The sequence below is a fragment of the Homo sapiens genome, chromosome 10 (genome assembly GCF_000001405.40).
Source record: "Homo sapiens chromosome 10, GRCh38.p14 Primary Assembly".
Taxonomy (NCBI): Eukaryota; Metazoa; Chordata; class Mammalia; order Primates; family Hominidae; genus Homo; species Homo sapiens.
Window position 1 is genome coordinate 124,529,860 of NC_000010.11, and position 15,885 is coordinate 124,545,744.

Here is a 15,885-nt window from a genome sequence, read left to right on the forward strand (position 1 = left end):
TTGCCTGTGGGAGGGCAGGATCCCAGCTGCCCCAGCGGGGAAGGGGTGTGGGGAATCAGCCCTGCAGATGCGGTGTGAGGGGCAGACATGGCATGCTGGTCTTTGGCAGTGTGGTCCCAAGTGGGGGCGGCTGGAGAGGTGCCTTGCCACAGGGCCCAGGCCACCCGCATGCATCCCATGAGGCCGTCCAAGCCCGTCTGCCCTGCATCAGAGAGGACACCCCAATGCGGGGAGGGAGGAACCTGGTGAAGCCAGGAGCGGTGGGCAGGGGCCAGCAAGGATCCCCAGGCCCCCAGGGCAGTGTGCATCCGGCCTTCTTGCATGCCCACCTGGCATCCTGCCTGCCGCCTCCTGCCTCCCGCCCCACCCCTCCTGCGTCCCAGCCTGGTGGACCTCTCAGGGTTCACTCTCATTTCCTCCTCCCCACGCCACCTGCTCGGGCCACAAGAGGGCGCCTTGCTGCCAGGGATGGGACAGGCCGGGCCTGCTGGAGCCAGGGCCGATGCACGCACAGCTACATACACTCACCCGGGCCCACGTGTGCTCACGAGGGGCCCCCATACCCACACGATCCCGCATCCACATGTGCGCACGCCAGGCCCCACAGGTTCTCAGGCCCAGGCCACACATCCACAGGTGCCCACTCTCATGCTGGCCTCATAGTGCATGCACACACACACACACACACACATATACATACACTCACGCCCAGACCCCCCCACGCCCCAGGCCACACATGTGGGCCTGCTCACACCCCACTCATTCCCTCCCAGATGCCGCACCACCCCCATGCCCTGTGTGCCCTCTGCCTCTCGGGGCCCTGGGGCCCCAGCTCCAAGAACCACGGGCTTGCTTTAGCCAGGCTTCCACAAGCCTGCCCATTCCTCAGGACACTGACCCTCTCCTCTGCCACCCTTCACGGGTGCAGACGATGAGCATGGAGAACACCACAGCGCACAGGGCCGAGGGCCACCATCAGAGTCTCCTGCAGCCCTGGATTCCCTGGGCCTGAAGCAGGCAGAGCGGCCAAGGTAGCCTCATCAGCCTCACCAGCCCGTCCTTCTTGTCTCCCTGGCACCTTGTCAGAGAGAGGCCTAAGAACACGCTCTGGGCATTGGGGGCCTCCCAGTGTTCCCTGCGAGTTTGGAGAGGCCAGGTCCCTGGGATGAGGACACGCCCACCCGCCAAGCTCCCCTCCTGCCAGTCCCACCTGGAGCCTTTATGCATGCTGTCTGCGCCCTTCACCTGTCCCACCACCTCTTCTTTGGCCTGCCTGGATCCTGCCATATCCTCAAGGCCTTCCCTGGTGATGGAATTCCAGAGTCCTCCCAATTGCAAGGGCCTGAGGGATCCGCTGCCCTCCAACCCCACACCCCGTCTCAAGGTCATGTGCTAATCCCGTGCAAGCTGGGGTGTGGGCTGGCTGCCATGTCAAGCTCGTTTCTGTTGTACCCAAAACACAGTCTCACCTCCAGAAGAATTACCTGGCACTCCCTGGAGTTCCCGCAGCCTTCTCATTTTCAAATAATTTTTCAGATTTCCAGAATAGAAAGAAATTCCATACACCCTTCTCCCAGAGACAGACCCCATTCAAGCTTTGCCAATCATTCCATGAACTCCTCTAGAGAGGGGAAGACCCAGTCCGGGGCCAGGCAGCTCTCTCTGGTCTCTCTGGACTCCGTCCTGGAGCACTTCCCTGTCCTCGCCTCAGTTCTCACAGATTGCCAGTTTTGAAGATTACGAGACAGTCATTTTGTGTGGTGTTTTCTCATGATACAACCCAAGTTACGCGTTTGGGGCTAGCATTGCTTAGAAGTGGTGCTGTGCTTGTTCTCATAGGCATGTAATGTTGGTTTGCCCAAATATTGCTGATGTTAACCTTGACCTCTTGTTTAATGGCAACCACATAATGTGTTTTTCCCCTTTGTGATTGATACGTATTTGTGGGGAGATGCTTTGAGGTGATGCGATGTCCCACTTTCATCTGCCAGTTTTAGTGTCCCTTAGTATTTCTTGTTTGAATGAATGATTTCTATGATGGTCGCCAAATAACTCCATCATTCTTCCTTGTATTTACTCCTGGTGTTTTACTTTAAGGAAAGATGTTCTCTTCTTTCCACTGATTGATGTATGCCAGTGTGGGCTCGTGGCTTCCTATGTAATTCAGTGGGTTATCGTCTGTTAACCGTCATCACTGGGATATTCAGATGGTCCCCGACGCAGGCACTGGCAGCCCCTTCAGGCTGGCCCTGTGACCTTTCGGCACATCCTCACCGTTCTTTGAGCCCTTCCTTGCATTTTGGCCCAAAAAGATGTTTCAGGTTCATTTGTTCAGTCTTTGCTTCAGCCCTGGAATCGGCCATTTCTCCAAGGAGCCCCAGTTCCTTCCAGTGGAGGGCACTGTTTAGAATCTCAGCCCAGGGCCCCAGGTGTGCTTGTGTTGTCTCTGGGCATTGCTGCTCAGGCCCTGGCGGTGGACAGAGGTAGGAAAGATGCGCATGGTATGCAGGTGTGACACACACATGCGTCCATGCTTACCCTACCCACCTGGACCTGCCCAAAAGCCCGAGCTCACAGCAGTGCCTCCGATTCCAGTCCAGCAGCACAGGGTTCCTTCTCACCTCATGCCTTTACACGTTCATGCCTTCCTTCCACAGCAGGGAGAAGCCTGGCTTCCTCATTCTCTCTCCATCTGCTTATCGCTCTATCCCATGTAGAGCCAAGTCCCTGACCTTGCCTGTGGTGGACACTCTGCGTTTGTTAAACTGAATAACAACAATCCTCCCTATTGGGAGAAACCTTTTCAGCTTCCCAGGCCATTTCTGCATTTGTGGTTCTCTTCCAAGCCTCTTGGGTAGGCATAGAAAGTCTTCTCTGTTTTCCAGGGAAGCTGCAGACTCACCCAGCATCACCCAGCTGGTAAGGGTGTAGCAGGACAGTGCCAGCATGTCTGTCCCAACTGTCCCTATGGCCCCTATGGAAGATTAGCTATGTGGTGGCAAAGTGTCCCGAGGAAGGGGCATTCTGGGATGTTCAGGTGCTCGACTGGGCTGGGACTTGTACTTTGGAAATGAGAAGAAGCCCAGGCTCAAATCTTTGCCCCACTGCTTGCTGGCAGGAAGACCACTGAGCCTCAGTTTTCTCATCTGTAAAATGGACTTATTTTGGACTTACTTCCCAGGTATCCTCAGCACCTTTATTACAGGAGCTCCATTAATACATGGCTGCAGGAGGTAGTTCAGGGAAGCAATGGGAGTGGAATGCTGGGTGCATCACGGCCTGGGGTTGTCAGCCTGGCCTCTGCAGGCATCTGAGATATTCCTGAGGGCAGATTCAGCCAGGCCAACACTTCTGGATAGAACCACAGGGCCATAAACTGAGACCATTGAGGGAGACTGCTTGGCTTGGAAAACTCGCCCAGGGACCATGTGCTCTGATTTGCAAAATGCACCCCCCAGAGCGGCTTCCTGCCTTCACTTTGTGCAGAGTTGGGGGCGGCAGGGGCGTGGGGGGTTGGATGGACCATGTCACCCAAAAGTTTGTGTCCTCGGATGGGGAGGGGAGAGCGTCTGCCCAAGCACAGCCTGGAGGCTTCCCTTACTTCCGATGACCTTGTGGCAGTCAGTGTCACCCGGACAGAGTGTGGCACGCCTTGGGGACCAGCCCCTCCCAGAAGGATAGGCGCTTGATTGGAAACGTTGACTTTTCATTTAAATAAGTAAAGGTCAAGGCCTACTGCATGGCGAGGAGGAGATGGCTCTTCCCTGCCTCTGTCCTCCCTTACCCCCGTGTGAGTGGACAAACCCCCCGTCCTCACCCAGGTGGCCCGCTTCTGCCACCCGCACTATATCCAAGACACAGCCCAGCTTTGCAGGCACTTGCCGTGTGCTCCGCAGTGTGCAGGGTGATGAGATGAACAAGACCATGTGGCCTGAAGGGTCCCACGCTGCAGAGGGCCCCAGCCCAGGGCCAGACCCCAAGTGTGTGCCTGGAGTGACTCAGGGGTGCGCGAGGAGGACTCAGTGGGATATGGAATGCAGGGGCTGAGGCATAGGGAGTGACACAGGGGCTCAGGGCTTTCCCATGAGTCGAGGCTCATTGGGTTGGCAGGGACCACATCTGCCCTGGTCGATGCCCTGCCCATGCAGGCTCTAACGGCAGAGTTTGGGGATTGGGGCGGGGGATGCAGGGGGCCTGGGGTGGGGAGCTTGGGGGCAGTGGGCCAGGCAAAGCAGAGCCCTTTGCTGTGTTGGAAACCCCTCAGAGGCCCTAGGCGTGATAAGTGAGTGTGACGCAGGAGAGTCTCTCTGCATGGGCCACCCACAATTGCAGAGAAGACGCCCTGCATGTCATAGGCTTGGCGGCCCATGCCGGGAATTTGGCATGGCCGTCTTTCCTCCGGTGCTGGGGAGCTCAGCAGCTGGAGGCAGATGCTGGATTGTCTTTCTCTACCGCAGCAGGGCAGGTAGCTTGTCTTTTAGTTTGTTTTGTTAGTCTCCTGTATCTGTGACTCTGCAGAGAGCCAACGGCAGGAAGAGGGCAGCACCGGCACGTCGGAGGCCGAGGACGGCTTAGACGGGAGGTCCGGAGGCTCTCAGCCTGACCAGCCCTGGCCTAGGGCCGGGGAAAGGCCTGGGCTTTGGGGTCAAGGGCAGGGGATGAGATCTCAGACCCACGACCTAACCATTGACCTGCCTGGGCCACTTCACCCCTGCATGCTTCCTTCCCTGTCTGTAAAAGCGGATCACGTGAGGGGCCTTGCAGGAAGCTCTGAGGCCCAGTGAGGCCCCCGGGAGACAGGCGAGACCGCTGTGAGCGCCCGTCCTTCCCGCCCGGTGCCTGGCAGGTTCCTATGCGCTCTCGGGGCTTCGGGCTGGGGCCCTGCTGCGGCGAGGGGGGTGCTCCCCAGGCTGGCGCTGTCGGTGGTGTGGCTTTGGCTGACACGAGGTGGAGAGGATCTTGTTGACCTGACCGTATAAAGTAGCAGTGAGGCCTTACAAGTAGTTCTAGGCCTGGAAAGGAAAGGGAAAGAAAGAGCAATGGAATCTGGTATTTTCTCAGGTGTCCTGGACTCCATCTGAAAGATTTCGCCATGGGAAACATTCCTTCCTGGGTCCTCGGCGCCTATTGTTACAGCACGCAGGCACCCGGGCTGTGGCCTAGGGGTGAAACCTCTCTCGATTGTGTGGCCATAGGTGGTTACTTAACTTCTCTGTGCCTCAGCGTTGCCACTGTGTGTGGCGATAGCAACATGTCTTCTTCCTAAGGTTGTTGGGAAAACACTGATCGCAACAGTGACAGATGCAGGACCCACTCCACCAGAAATTGTTCCATGAGCTTGTTTACCCACCAGACGCCTGTATGAGAGAGAACTGACATCGTCCTCACTTTGCAGAGAGGTTAAGTAACTTGCCTAAGGTCACACAGCCTTTGAACCCTGGGAGTCGAACTCCGTCATCTATGCTCTGAACCACTCTGCCACATGTGGTGGTTACTGTCAGTTCCATTTGTTTCCACACAGCTTTAAGTTAGTCCTGTGGTTTGCTTTTATTTTATTTTTAAGACATGGTCTTGCTCTGTCACCCAGGCTGGAGTGCAGTGGTGCAATCATAGCTCACTGCAGCCTCGACTTCTGATGAGATTCTCGCATCTCAGCCTCCCAAGTAGCCGGGACTATAGGCACATGCCACAATGCCTGGCTAATTAAAAAAACATTTTTTTTTTTTTTGTAGAGACAAAGCTGTTGCTATGTTGCCCAAGCTGGTCTTAAACTCCTGGCCTCAAGTGATTCTCCCACATCGGGATCCCAAAGTGCTGGAATTAGCTTGGCGTGAGCCGCCATGCCTGGCCTAGTCTGGTGGGTGTTTAAACCTTGCTGGCCTTTAGGGGTGCATGCTGTGAAGACCTGTGGGCCAGAGGCCAGGTATCAGGAGGAGACACTCAGGCCTGTTGAATCAGCTCAGTGCCACAGGGCTGCAAGAGCAGCTGCTTCAGGCTCCTCAGGCCGTGGGCCCCTGAGCACCAGTTCTGCTCTGCTCCCTCAGGGGAACTGGGGAGATCAAGGTGGGGCCCCTGGACCTCCCCTAATTCAGCCAGAGAAGCTCTCATCTCTTCCGGGGTCCCAGGCAGGATTCCCCTGGGCTGGGGTGGGAGGTTCTGCTGCTTTAAAACCACTGGAAAGGCTTGAGAACCAGTGATCTTCTGCCCTGTTACAGACGCGGAAGCCGGGGTGGAGCAGGCCTGTAAGGTGGGGGCTGGGGCCGGCACTGGGTCCCCGGGCTTTTCCACCCCTGCCGCGTGTGCGTGCAGACTGGCCCTGCGGTCCATGGGCTTGGGCCTGCCTTTTGGCTTGCTCCCGAGTATTTTGCCCAGAGGCCTTGTGGCTTTCAGGGATGCTGTCTGGGGCTGGAAGTCAGTCCTTGTTTTGTCCTGGCAGTAGTCAGCAGGAGGGAGAAGAAGGGGTTAACCTGTCTGGAACCAGGAAAGAGGAAGCGGTAGTGTTCCCGCATGCAGTCCCAAATAGACTCCTGCTCCTGCTCCGAGGCCACCCCAGCCAGGCTGGATGGAAGCTCCCCGGCTGGGCCATTGTTCCGGCCCCTCTCCCTCCACCCTGAGAAAGCCCCCAGCCCGGTGGGTCAGGGCAGGACATGGACAGGCCAAGGCTTTGGGCTCCAGGGAGGCCAAGCTGCTGGGGCCCAGAGACCCTGCTGTGTATCCCAGAGCCAGAGAAGAACCTCCCTGAGGGCTCTGTGAGCCAGAGGGCTGGGGGATGTCAAGAGACAGGCAGGGCAGGGCTGCAAGGTTAGAGTGAGGGGAGGGGTACCTGGTGCCATTTTGGAAGGGACCCCTGAAGGCAGGAAGCAGGACAGACCCCCCGCCATTGGCAGAAGACCTCTGGAATCCTGAGATACTTAAATTCCCTGCGGCAGCTCCAAGCCTAGGGAACCAGACAGATCGGGGAGGATTGGCTAGAACAGTGCATCCTGGTGGGTCGTGTTGGAAGCTCTCTGAGGTCCCTCTGCTGCTGAGAGATGAAGGAATGGAGCCCTGGCTCTGCTGTGGGATGCCAGGCTGCCCAGGCTCCCCGACCTCTCCAGCAACAAAAATCATAAACACAGCATATGTAATATATAAATAATAAAAGTAACAGCCATCTTTTCAGAATAATCTAGCACTTAGAATGTGCTAGGGAACATACAAGCACTTTTCTCCTTATTTACAGTAAGCCTTAAGGTAAATTTCATCATCTCCAGATTTTAAGTAAAGAATTTGAGAATCAGAGACATTCACAGCAACCTGGTGCACCCGGAGCCTGGCTGACCCCAGCACCGCTGCTGGCGGCCCCACCTCACTCGCCCAGTCTCCCTGCTTCCCCAGCCACCGTCCAGCTACCTCGAGAGATCCTGGGAGCATGGTGATTGTGGGGTGCATGGGGGCCCGTGAGCTGTTGGGGGTGTCAGGGTTCTGCCCGTGAGATCCTCCTTGTTGCCAGACATGAGGACCTGGACTGGCAGCTGTGGGTGGCCTCATGAATCAGGGATCAGAGATAGCGGGCAGCAGGCGGGCCCAGCCCGGAGCAAGCTGTGCCATTGGCGATGCGGGGAGGCTGGCCCCATCGAAGGCTGGTGGGACTGGTGGAGACTCCTGTCCACTGCTCAGCACTAGGCCTGCAGCAGACACCATGAGCCCCAAACTTCCCAAAGCCCTTCCCCAGTCCCACAAGATGGTGTCTGCGGACCGTGCTCGTGAGAGATGGCAGCCAGGCAGTCCCCACAGGGCACCCATTTTCAGCTGCCCCCGCTTCTCAGACAAGGAAACTGAGGCCAGAAAGCCAGGTGGCCCAGGAGCTGGCTTCCCCATTTCCTGCTCCTGTGGGCCCCACTGCAGTGCCCATGGGCCGGGCTGATATTACCCGAGACTTCGGAGCTCTCACGGGTGCGAGTAATTTAGGCTGCATGGACACAAGCTGCTGGCTTGAGTCGCCCCGTTATGAATGTGTGTGGGTCTGTGCCCCTTTCATGTGCTGCCACAGGGCCCACGAGTGTGCTGAAAGGGAAGGACACGGCCAAGGGGCCATGGTGGACAGGAGACCTTCTTGGGGGTTCGGTGGTGTCCTTGACCCCACTCTGACTGAGCACTGCCCCAAGGCACTGCCATTCCAGGCCCCCTTCCCTGAGCCTCCCACCCCAGGCCCACCCACCTGCTGGGTCCTCCCACCTGCGGGGCCCGCCATGCGGGGTCACCATGCGAGTCTCACCATGCAGGGTCACCACACGAGTCTCACCATGCAGGGTCACCACGCGAGTCTCACCATGCAGGGTCACCATGCGGGGTCACCATGTGGGGTCACCATGCGGGGCTCACCATGTGGGGCTTCAGGAGCTTGCTGAGCACCCTCCCCACCCACGGTCACTCTCCCTGGGGTCTGTAAGCCTCCCTGGGCCTGAGCAGCTCCCAGCCTTGCTGCTGCCTTTCCACTTCCTGGCAGTGAGGTCTCCTGGGTGCCTTCTCTCAGCCCTTTGGGATGTTTTTTGTGAGGAAGGGAGGCTTTGATGCTGTGGAGCATCTGTAGTGCCCACTCCAGTGGCTTCACAGGAGCAGCAGGCTGTTTGTTCTGAGCTGTTCCACCTTGTGCCTGCCAGAGGGGAGATAGTGGACAGGCCTCCCTCCCCCCAAGTGGTGGGGTGGACCCCCTGCCCGCTGTGGCCCCATACCTGGGGGCCACACACCACTGCCCTGGGCCGTGCAGCTGCTATGAAGAGTGTGCTGCTGAGACCCTGGAAGAGACGGAGGATGAAATTGTGTTGCCAGATAGTCCATTTGTTGTTCTGAGACTCGCATGCCTGGGAGAATCCTGGGAATTAACTAGCTCCTTCTCTCCCATCCCATTTTACAGAAAAGTGAGACCCAAGGTGGTTTCTGACTTGCCCAGAGGTCATAACTGCTTGGACAGTCATGGTCCTCAGAGCCCACGTTTGCTGACCAGTGCAGGCTCTCACAGCCACTCAGCTCCTGCAGCCGTGGCGTGGCAGAGGAGGGAAGCACTTCCTGGGATTTATGCTGCCTCCCTGACATTTCAAGGCCCTTCATTTCTCTAAATATTGGAGGAGTTGAATTATTTTTAGTTGAGCCTCAAGGGATCAGAGAATAAGCTTGCAGCAACGTTGGCAGATGGGCTTCTTCTAGCAGAGAGTGGTTATTCGGGGCCTCTTATTGAGAGAATCGGGTGATTTGAGGAAATCTGGGGTGTCCTGAGGCATACCAGAGGACCCCCAAGTTTTTCCTGTGGCTCGTCTGCCATCAGGAAACCAAAATGACTCCCCTCGTCCTGAGCTCTCCAGGGTGTGGACCTGGAATGCTTAAGGGGAGGCAATGGCATATCTTTAAGATGAGCACAGCTCCGGAGCCACTCGAGCACCCAAGGCCACGTCCTGCTCAGGGCACTTCGGGCCTCAGTTTCCTTATCTTTAAAATGGACAGAGTTGGCCGGGTGAGGTGGCCCTGCCTGTAATCCCAGCACTTTGGGAGGCCAAGGCTGGCAGATTGCTTGAGCCCAGGAGTTTGAAGCCAGCCTGGGCAACATGGCGAAACCCCATCTCTACTACAAGTACAAAAATTTGGCCGGGCATGGTGGCTCATGCTTGTAATCCCAGCACTTTGGGAGGCCAAGGAGAGCGGATCACTTGAGGCCAGAAGCTCGAGACCGCCTCTACTAAAAATACAAAAATTAGCCAGGCGTGGTGGCTCACGCCTGTAATCTCAGCTACTCGGGTGGCTGAGGCAGGAGAATCACTTGAACCTGGGAAGTAGAGGTTGCAGTGAGCTGAGATCGTGCCACTGCACTCTAGCCTGGGCGACAGAGCAAAACCCTGTCTCAAAAAAAAAAAAAAAAATTAGTCAGGCATGGTGGCACACACCTGTAGTCCCAGCTACTCAGGAGGCTGAGGTGGGAGGATTGTTTGAGCCCAGAAGGTTGAGGCTGCATTGAGCTGAGATTGCACCACTGCACTCCAGCCTGGGCGACAGAGCGAGACCCTGTCTCAAAAAAATAAAATAGACATAATAAGAGTACCTACCACCTACGGCTGGGGAGACCAGAATGAGATATCCTGCCAAAAGCACTCACCGCACTTCCTGGCACACAGCAAGGGTTCAGCAGTTACCCGCTTCTGCTCATTTTCTTGGTGTTCTCATCAGTATGATTATTTAGGGAAACTTGGGTCCCCAGATAACCGTGGGGAGGGGAGGGTTTACCTGCAGGTGCCCTGGCCCAGCCGTTCATGCAGCGCCGTGCTGTTTCTGTGTCTGTGCGCTTCGGTGGAGATGCTGTGGGTGGGTGGGCAGGTGTGCCTTGTGCTGTGGCCTCCCGAGACAAGGAGGGCTCCCACCTAAGCAGGGTCCTGCAGCCCAGGCACATAGCCCTGCCCTGGCCCTCCAGGTCCACACGGCTGTGGGTTCCCACCAGGGGGCGGCAGGGACTTGCGGCCGGGGACCCAGCCTGGTTTCTCCCGCTTTGCTTCGTGGCCAGGCTAGGGCCAGGGGGGCTGCGCAGGATGGGGCCTTTTCACCACTGCCTGGAGCCGCTCGCCCACCAACCCCACTGACGGCTCTCAGTTTCCCTTTCCCCGAGCGCCCTTCACCCTGAGGCACAGCACAGCCTCGTGCTCCTGGCCCCACTGGCCTGCTCCCTTAAGCTGAGTTTTGCCTTTGCAGTTTGAGTGACATTTTTGCTGGGGATCCGGGGCTGCTCGGGGTGGCCTCGCACACCCCTGCACTTTGGCTGCCTGGAACGTGGCTTGGGGTTCACGGTGCTCCATGGTTTGACTCACAGGCAGGGTTCCAGCAGCAGCAGAGAGAAAGAGCATCTTCTCCAGCCGGCCCTACAGAGGCCCCGGGACCCCAAAGGCTGCACTGAGGTGGCCACCAAAACCAGGGGGCAGAGTCCTCCTAAGTTCTGGCCCTAGATCTAGGCTCCAGATCTCCCGGGAGTTGGATCCAGAGGAACCTGGGCTCACTTCTTTAGCAGGTTCTGGACACACGATGCCTTTAGGGGCTCAAGAAAATGTTTAATTTATTTTAAAATTAGAAGGAAAATATCTCTGGAACATTTAGGGCCAAAGAAAATGTTTTAATGTTTTTTCTCACTTTAGAAATAATAATTCAAAAATCCATTAAATTATTTAACAGCTTTTTTAATGGAGGAAGGGGCCCCCCAAATCACAAAGTGGCCCTGGGCCCTGGGATGGCCGGAGGAGAGCCTGCCATACCCACGCAGTGTGCCTGAGTCCTGGAGTGCGATGTATTCTGAGCCACCCAGAATGGTGAGTCACCAAGAGGCAGCTTGGAGGTGGGCCGCTGCCCCTGCACACTGTGCTTGGGGGACACAGCCGACACGACCAGCCTGCAGTACCAGGATAGACAATTTGGGCTGGAGCCAAACTTGATCAGAGGGAGGCTGACTTTATCGAGGGCTGCTTTGTGGCGGGCGTTCATTGTGGAAAGAGCCCAGGAAGGAGCTCTCTGCCTTGCAAGAACATTGCCTGTGGCTCAAAATGGCCACATGGGATGCAGTTCCTGAGGTGGCAGAAGAGCCAGCCTCTGCTAGCCCCAGACCTAACGGAGTTGCGGCTCATGGCCACCCTGAGGAATTCCACCTGGGCGTTTGGTGTCCCTAGCATATCTCGAATGGCAGGCTGAGGCTCGAAAGTCTCATGCCTGTCTGCAGGACCCCCGCGTGAGCCTGGGACCACCCGTGGGGACAGTGTGTGTCTAGGCAAATGCCTTGGGCACTCGAGGGGGCACTGAGGCCCTGGAGGGCTTCTGTGGGTGGGAGTTCCCATGACGTCATCCCTCAGTACAAGCTACGAGGGCTTCTTAGAACACGCTGGACACTGGGGAGGGCTCTAATGGTATTTGCACAAATTTGCAATGTTGGAGACCAGAGTGGAGTGGGCTGGGCGGGCCAGGCCCCGGCCCAGATGGGGTGACCTTTCCTTCACCCCTACTTCCCCACTGCAAGGGTGCTGCCTCCCCAGCTCCTACCTGGGGAGATGCTGACATCTGGTCATTCGCAGAGTGCCCTGTGCCCACATGCTGTCCCTGTCCAGACATGAAACGGACAGCAGGAGGGGGCTTTGAGGGGTCTCTCCTGAGACACCTCTCCAGCTGAGGCTCCTGGAGTTGGAAGCCCCTGCAGACTCGGTGGCTGCCTCACCAAAGGCTCCATCTGCATTTGCCCCCATGACCTTCCCACTGTGCCTGGGACCGCAGTTAGAGCTGACCAGCACCTGGGGCAGTCTGGGGTCTGGGGCTGGCGTTCGGGCCAGCATGGAACACAGATGCCTTCAGTGGCTCTGGTGGGCACGGGGCTTGCACAGATCGGACTGTGACCCCAGGCTGTGGGACTCAGCCACCAAGCGCCTTCACTTATTTACTGACCTTGAAGTTATCCAGCACTTATGTGTTTACAGATACCTGCACAACAGCCAGAGAGGTACGAATACATCTCCACCTACAGGTGAGGGCACAGAGAGGTTAGGACCCACCTGAGGGGATGCAGCCAGCAGGTGGGACTTGGGCCCTGGCAGTCTGTTTCCAGCCTGTGTGCTCAGGTCCAGGGTCTCCCTGGGACTGGAGAGGGCGCTGGGGGAATGGAGCCGCCTCCTGCATCAGAGCTTCTCCTGCTCCAGTTCAGCCTGCAGCTCTCCTGCATCCCCAGGTGGGGACCAGAGAGAGGGGCAGGCTGGTACCAGCCTGGGGGAGGGGGCAGTTACCAGAAGACCTTGGTCCCCATCCCAGCCCTGTGCACCCTGGGGCCCAGCCAGGCTGGAGGCCCATTTTTCCCAGAAGCCCACCTCTCTGCCTCCTTCCAGGGGCTCACCCCGCCCTGCTGCCTCTTCTTGATCGCCTCCTTGCCCCTACTCTCCCCTCTGCCCTCTCGCCTCCCCTCACGTTCATGGGGTTTTGTGGACGCGCCTGCCTGCCTTTCATCAGTGGTGTCCAGCCGTCTCCCTGACCGAGGCTGAGGGTCCTGCACATCTAGGCCCCGTCACGGTCGTTCTCCCCGGTCCCTGCCTGCCCATGGCTCTTGCCACAGTGGGGATGCAGCAGCTCTGGGTTGAGTGTCTGTCGTTGCCCCTGCACTGCGTGTGCCCTGTGAGTGGGGGCTGCTGTGCCACACCTCACTGCCACCCATGCCCATCTCAGGGTGTGGGCCCAGCGGGTCCTCAGGCTGTACCTGTCAGGGGGCTGGATACCTGGACAGGGCCTTGTCCGAGGGTTGACTGGGAGAGAAAATGCCCCCGTTCCAGCTCGGGCAGTACAAGCCTTCATCCTCCCAGACTCCACCTCCCTGGCTGCTCCTTCCTGTATGGCCCCCACAGGGGTTGGCAGGGCGCACTCCCCAGAGGGACAGGAGTTTGTGGCCAACCTGAGGGTAGACACTGCCTGTCCTCCAGACCCCTAGACACCCCCGGTCGGCCCAGGTGCGGGGTCTGCCCGCATCCCACAGCCATCTTTCCAGCGAGGACAGTGCAGGCGCAGGTGGCTGTACCGTGGCTGCGGTGATGTGCTGACTGGGAACGGCAGAGGTGCCCTGGGAAGGCGGAGGTCTGGGAGCCCCACAAGGGCTGAGCCTTGGGGCCTCAAAACAGGGAGTCTTCTCTGGGCTCAGGGCCTTTCTGGAGATGGGACTTCTAGGTTGCCAGGGCCACTAGCCGTGAGGAGTTCAGCTGCCCATGGTGGCGGCGGCTGGGCTGTATCTTGCACTTCTCAGCTGTGTGGAGGGGTCCGTGGGGCCTGTCTGGGCCCAGCACAGCAGCGCACAGAAAAGCCACTTTATATATTTGGGATTCTATTAATCCTTCTAGTTTGTACATTTTTTATGGCACCTTCAATTTTTTTCTTTTAAAAATTAATATATTTTTTTTTCTGATAATATAAGAAATGCATGCCTTCTTTGGAAAATACAGAAAATCACAAAGAAAATAATCCACAATCCCACCTTCCAAAAGGAACCACAGTTAGCATTTTGTTCAGCCTGTTTTTTAAAAAACAAACAAACAAAAAATGCATACTAAAAGCAACGATTTATAAACTGTGGTTGTAGAGTTAAGCTCATACCCAGAGTTGCCGGCATCTCACCAGTTCCTCTCCTGGGACAGTGATTGTGCCTTCCCAGAGCTGCCGCACCCTGGCCTCGCAGCCAAGCCTGGTGACAGCAGTGGGGTGACCCTGCGAGGCCCCTCGGATGGCTGATGCTGAGAGCCCAGCAGAGCTGGAGGGGGTAGGGGCAGCCTCCCCAGGACTGATCTGACAGACGGGTATGTGCCTCACCCGGCATCACCCACCGGGGAGGCCTCCGTCCGCCCCCATGCAGTCATGCTGGGTCCCCCCATCTCGTGTCTTCTGGGGAATGGAGCGGAAGACCTCCCCTCTCTGGAACCAGGGGTGGGAGGGACTGTGCTCCCCAGAATGAATATTCCTTGGCTGTGGGTGAGCCTGCCAGCCCAGAGTCCCCAGGGGTCAGGAGCAGACTGGCAGGGGCCATGGCAACGACTGGGACACCTGGGGAGCCAGGTGTCCAGGCAGGCTCCAGTGTCCACTCCCAACAAGTATGGGGCATTGAGATCCTGGGTGGATCACAGGGGAGCAGGCGTGCTCAAGCTGACACAGCCCAAGCTGTCTTTATTCACCACCAGACCCGAATCCACCTCTGGGCCAACAGTCTCACCCTGCAGGAGGCCTGGCACCTGTGTTTGTATTTTATCACCATGAGGTTGTGTGGGCTGCTGAGAGCGTGTGCAGAGCTCTGGGCACAAGCCTCGGCTCTGTGGCCGGCTGAGTGGCCGGGCCTCGGTGTTCTCGTCTCTGAAGTGGGGAGAAGGCTGCCCCCGTCACGGGACCTCACAGTGTTAGATGAGATTGCAGATGCGATGAGGTGGGGGCCCAGCAGGCCTGCTCAGGGCGTGGCTGTCCCTCCTGGTGCAGACACCATCACGTGGAAGGCGATCACATCGAGTGTTCTGGCCACTGTGGCGCGAGTGCATATGTGCGCAGGGCTGTGCATGGGCGGCCTGGGTTGGGCTTCCTTTCTCGGCTTGTCTGGGAGGACGGTGGCTCCCAGTGGGTGTCTCCCTGTCTCTGCCCCACTCTGAGGATGTGGGTGCTTTGAGCTGAGTGAAGGAGGAACTTCTCTAGGAGAGAGCTCTGCCTGCCACCTCCCTGGTGCCCCCGCCCCCAGAGCAGAGCTGTCCTTACAGGGCCACAGCCTCTGCTGGCCCCGAAGCCCCTTTGCAGTGAAGGGGGGCTCCTGTGTGCGGCTCCCTCCAGATGGACAAAAACCAGGTTTGGATGCCGGGGCCTCGGCTGAGTCCCTCGCTTCTCTAAGCATTCCTTTCCTCGTCTGGAAAGTGGGGGTGTAGTATTGTGCGAACCTCCCAGGCCATCCCAGGATGAACTGAGATCATGCCCATAACATAGACTTCCGCCTGGTCCCTGCTCAGAGCTCCCCGAATGGTCATTGCCACATCTAAACAAATTTTTCTTTCAGCTGGGGGTGCTGGCGGCCCCTGCAGCGGTGCCCACGGCAGCCCATGCACCCAGGCAGGAAGCTGCTTTGTGCAGGAGGGTCTTTGTGCAGGGGCAGTGTGGGCGAGCCTGGCAGCCTCCTGAGCGGCAGGACTATGCAGGCGCCTTATTGAGCTGTCAGCGGCTGGCAGCTGCTCCCAGGTAGCAGGAAGAAGGGCCGAGCTCCACGTGGGCATGAAAGGCCCAGCGGGTGTGTCAGGGGGCGGGGTGGGGTGGAAGTGTTAGTGCGAATGTGAGTGTGTGTGCACGCTTGCAGGATAAAGATGAGTTTTTAAAATGTGTCTCCTGTGGTTTTTG

The 15,885-nt window shown here is 57.7% G+C and overlaps 1 protein-coding gene across 7 annotated transcripts in view, besides 5 other annotated features; it reads left to right on the forward strand.

Annotated features, from left to right (window-relative positions):
• The window catches only part of LHPP (phospholysine phosphohistidine inorganic pyrophosphate phosphatase), a 152,319-nt gene that overhangs the window by 68,037 nt on the left and 68,397 nt on the right, over window positions 1-15,885 (forward strand). The gene's annotated exons all lie outside the window — the stretch shown is intronic.
• Window positions 238-357: a silencer, noted in NCBI's record as "silent region_2911". NCBI's record gives its function as "represses an Ori minimal core promoter by ATAC-STARR-seq in GM12878 lymphoblastoid cells {active_cell/tissue: GM12878}" and the evidence as "EXISTENCE:reporter gene assay evidence [ECO:0000049][PMID:35858748]".
• Window positions 3,234-3,767: an enhancer, noted in NCBI's record as "H3K4me1 hESC enhancer chr10:126221662-126222195 (GRCh37/hg19 assembly coordinates)". NCBI's record gives its function as "activates a minimal SCP1, AML or CMV promoter by ChIP-STARR-seq in naive H9 embryonic stem cells {active_cell/tissue: H9 hESC(naive)}" and the evidence as "EXISTENCE:reporter gene assay evidence [ECO:0000049][PMID:30033119]".
• Window positions 3,768-4,300: an enhancer, noted in NCBI's record as "H3K4me1 hESC enhancer chr10:126222196-126222728 (GRCh37/hg19 assembly coordinates)". NCBI's record gives its function as "activates a minimal SCP1, AML or CMV promoter by ChIP-STARR-seq in naive H9 embryonic stem cells {active_cell/tissue: H9 hESC(naive)}" and the evidence as "EXISTENCE:reporter gene assay evidence [ECO:0000049][PMID:30033119]".
• Window positions 9,978-10,478: an enhancer, noted in NCBI's record as "H3K27ac-H3K4me1 hESC enhancer chr10:126228406-126228906 (GRCh37/hg19 assembly coordinates)". NCBI's record gives its function as "activates a minimal SCP1, AML or CMV promoter by ChIP-STARR-seq in naive H9 embryonic stem cells {active_cell/tissue: H9 hESC(naive)}" and the evidence as "EXISTENCE:reporter gene assay evidence [ECO:0000049][PMID:30033119]".
• Window positions 14,764-14,923: an enhancer, noted in NCBI's record as "active region_4167". NCBI's record gives its function as "activates an Ori minimal core promoter by ATAC-STARR-seq in GM12878 lymphoblastoid cells {active_cell/tissue: GM12878}" and the evidence as "EXISTENCE:reporter gene assay evidence [ECO:0000049][PMID:35858748]".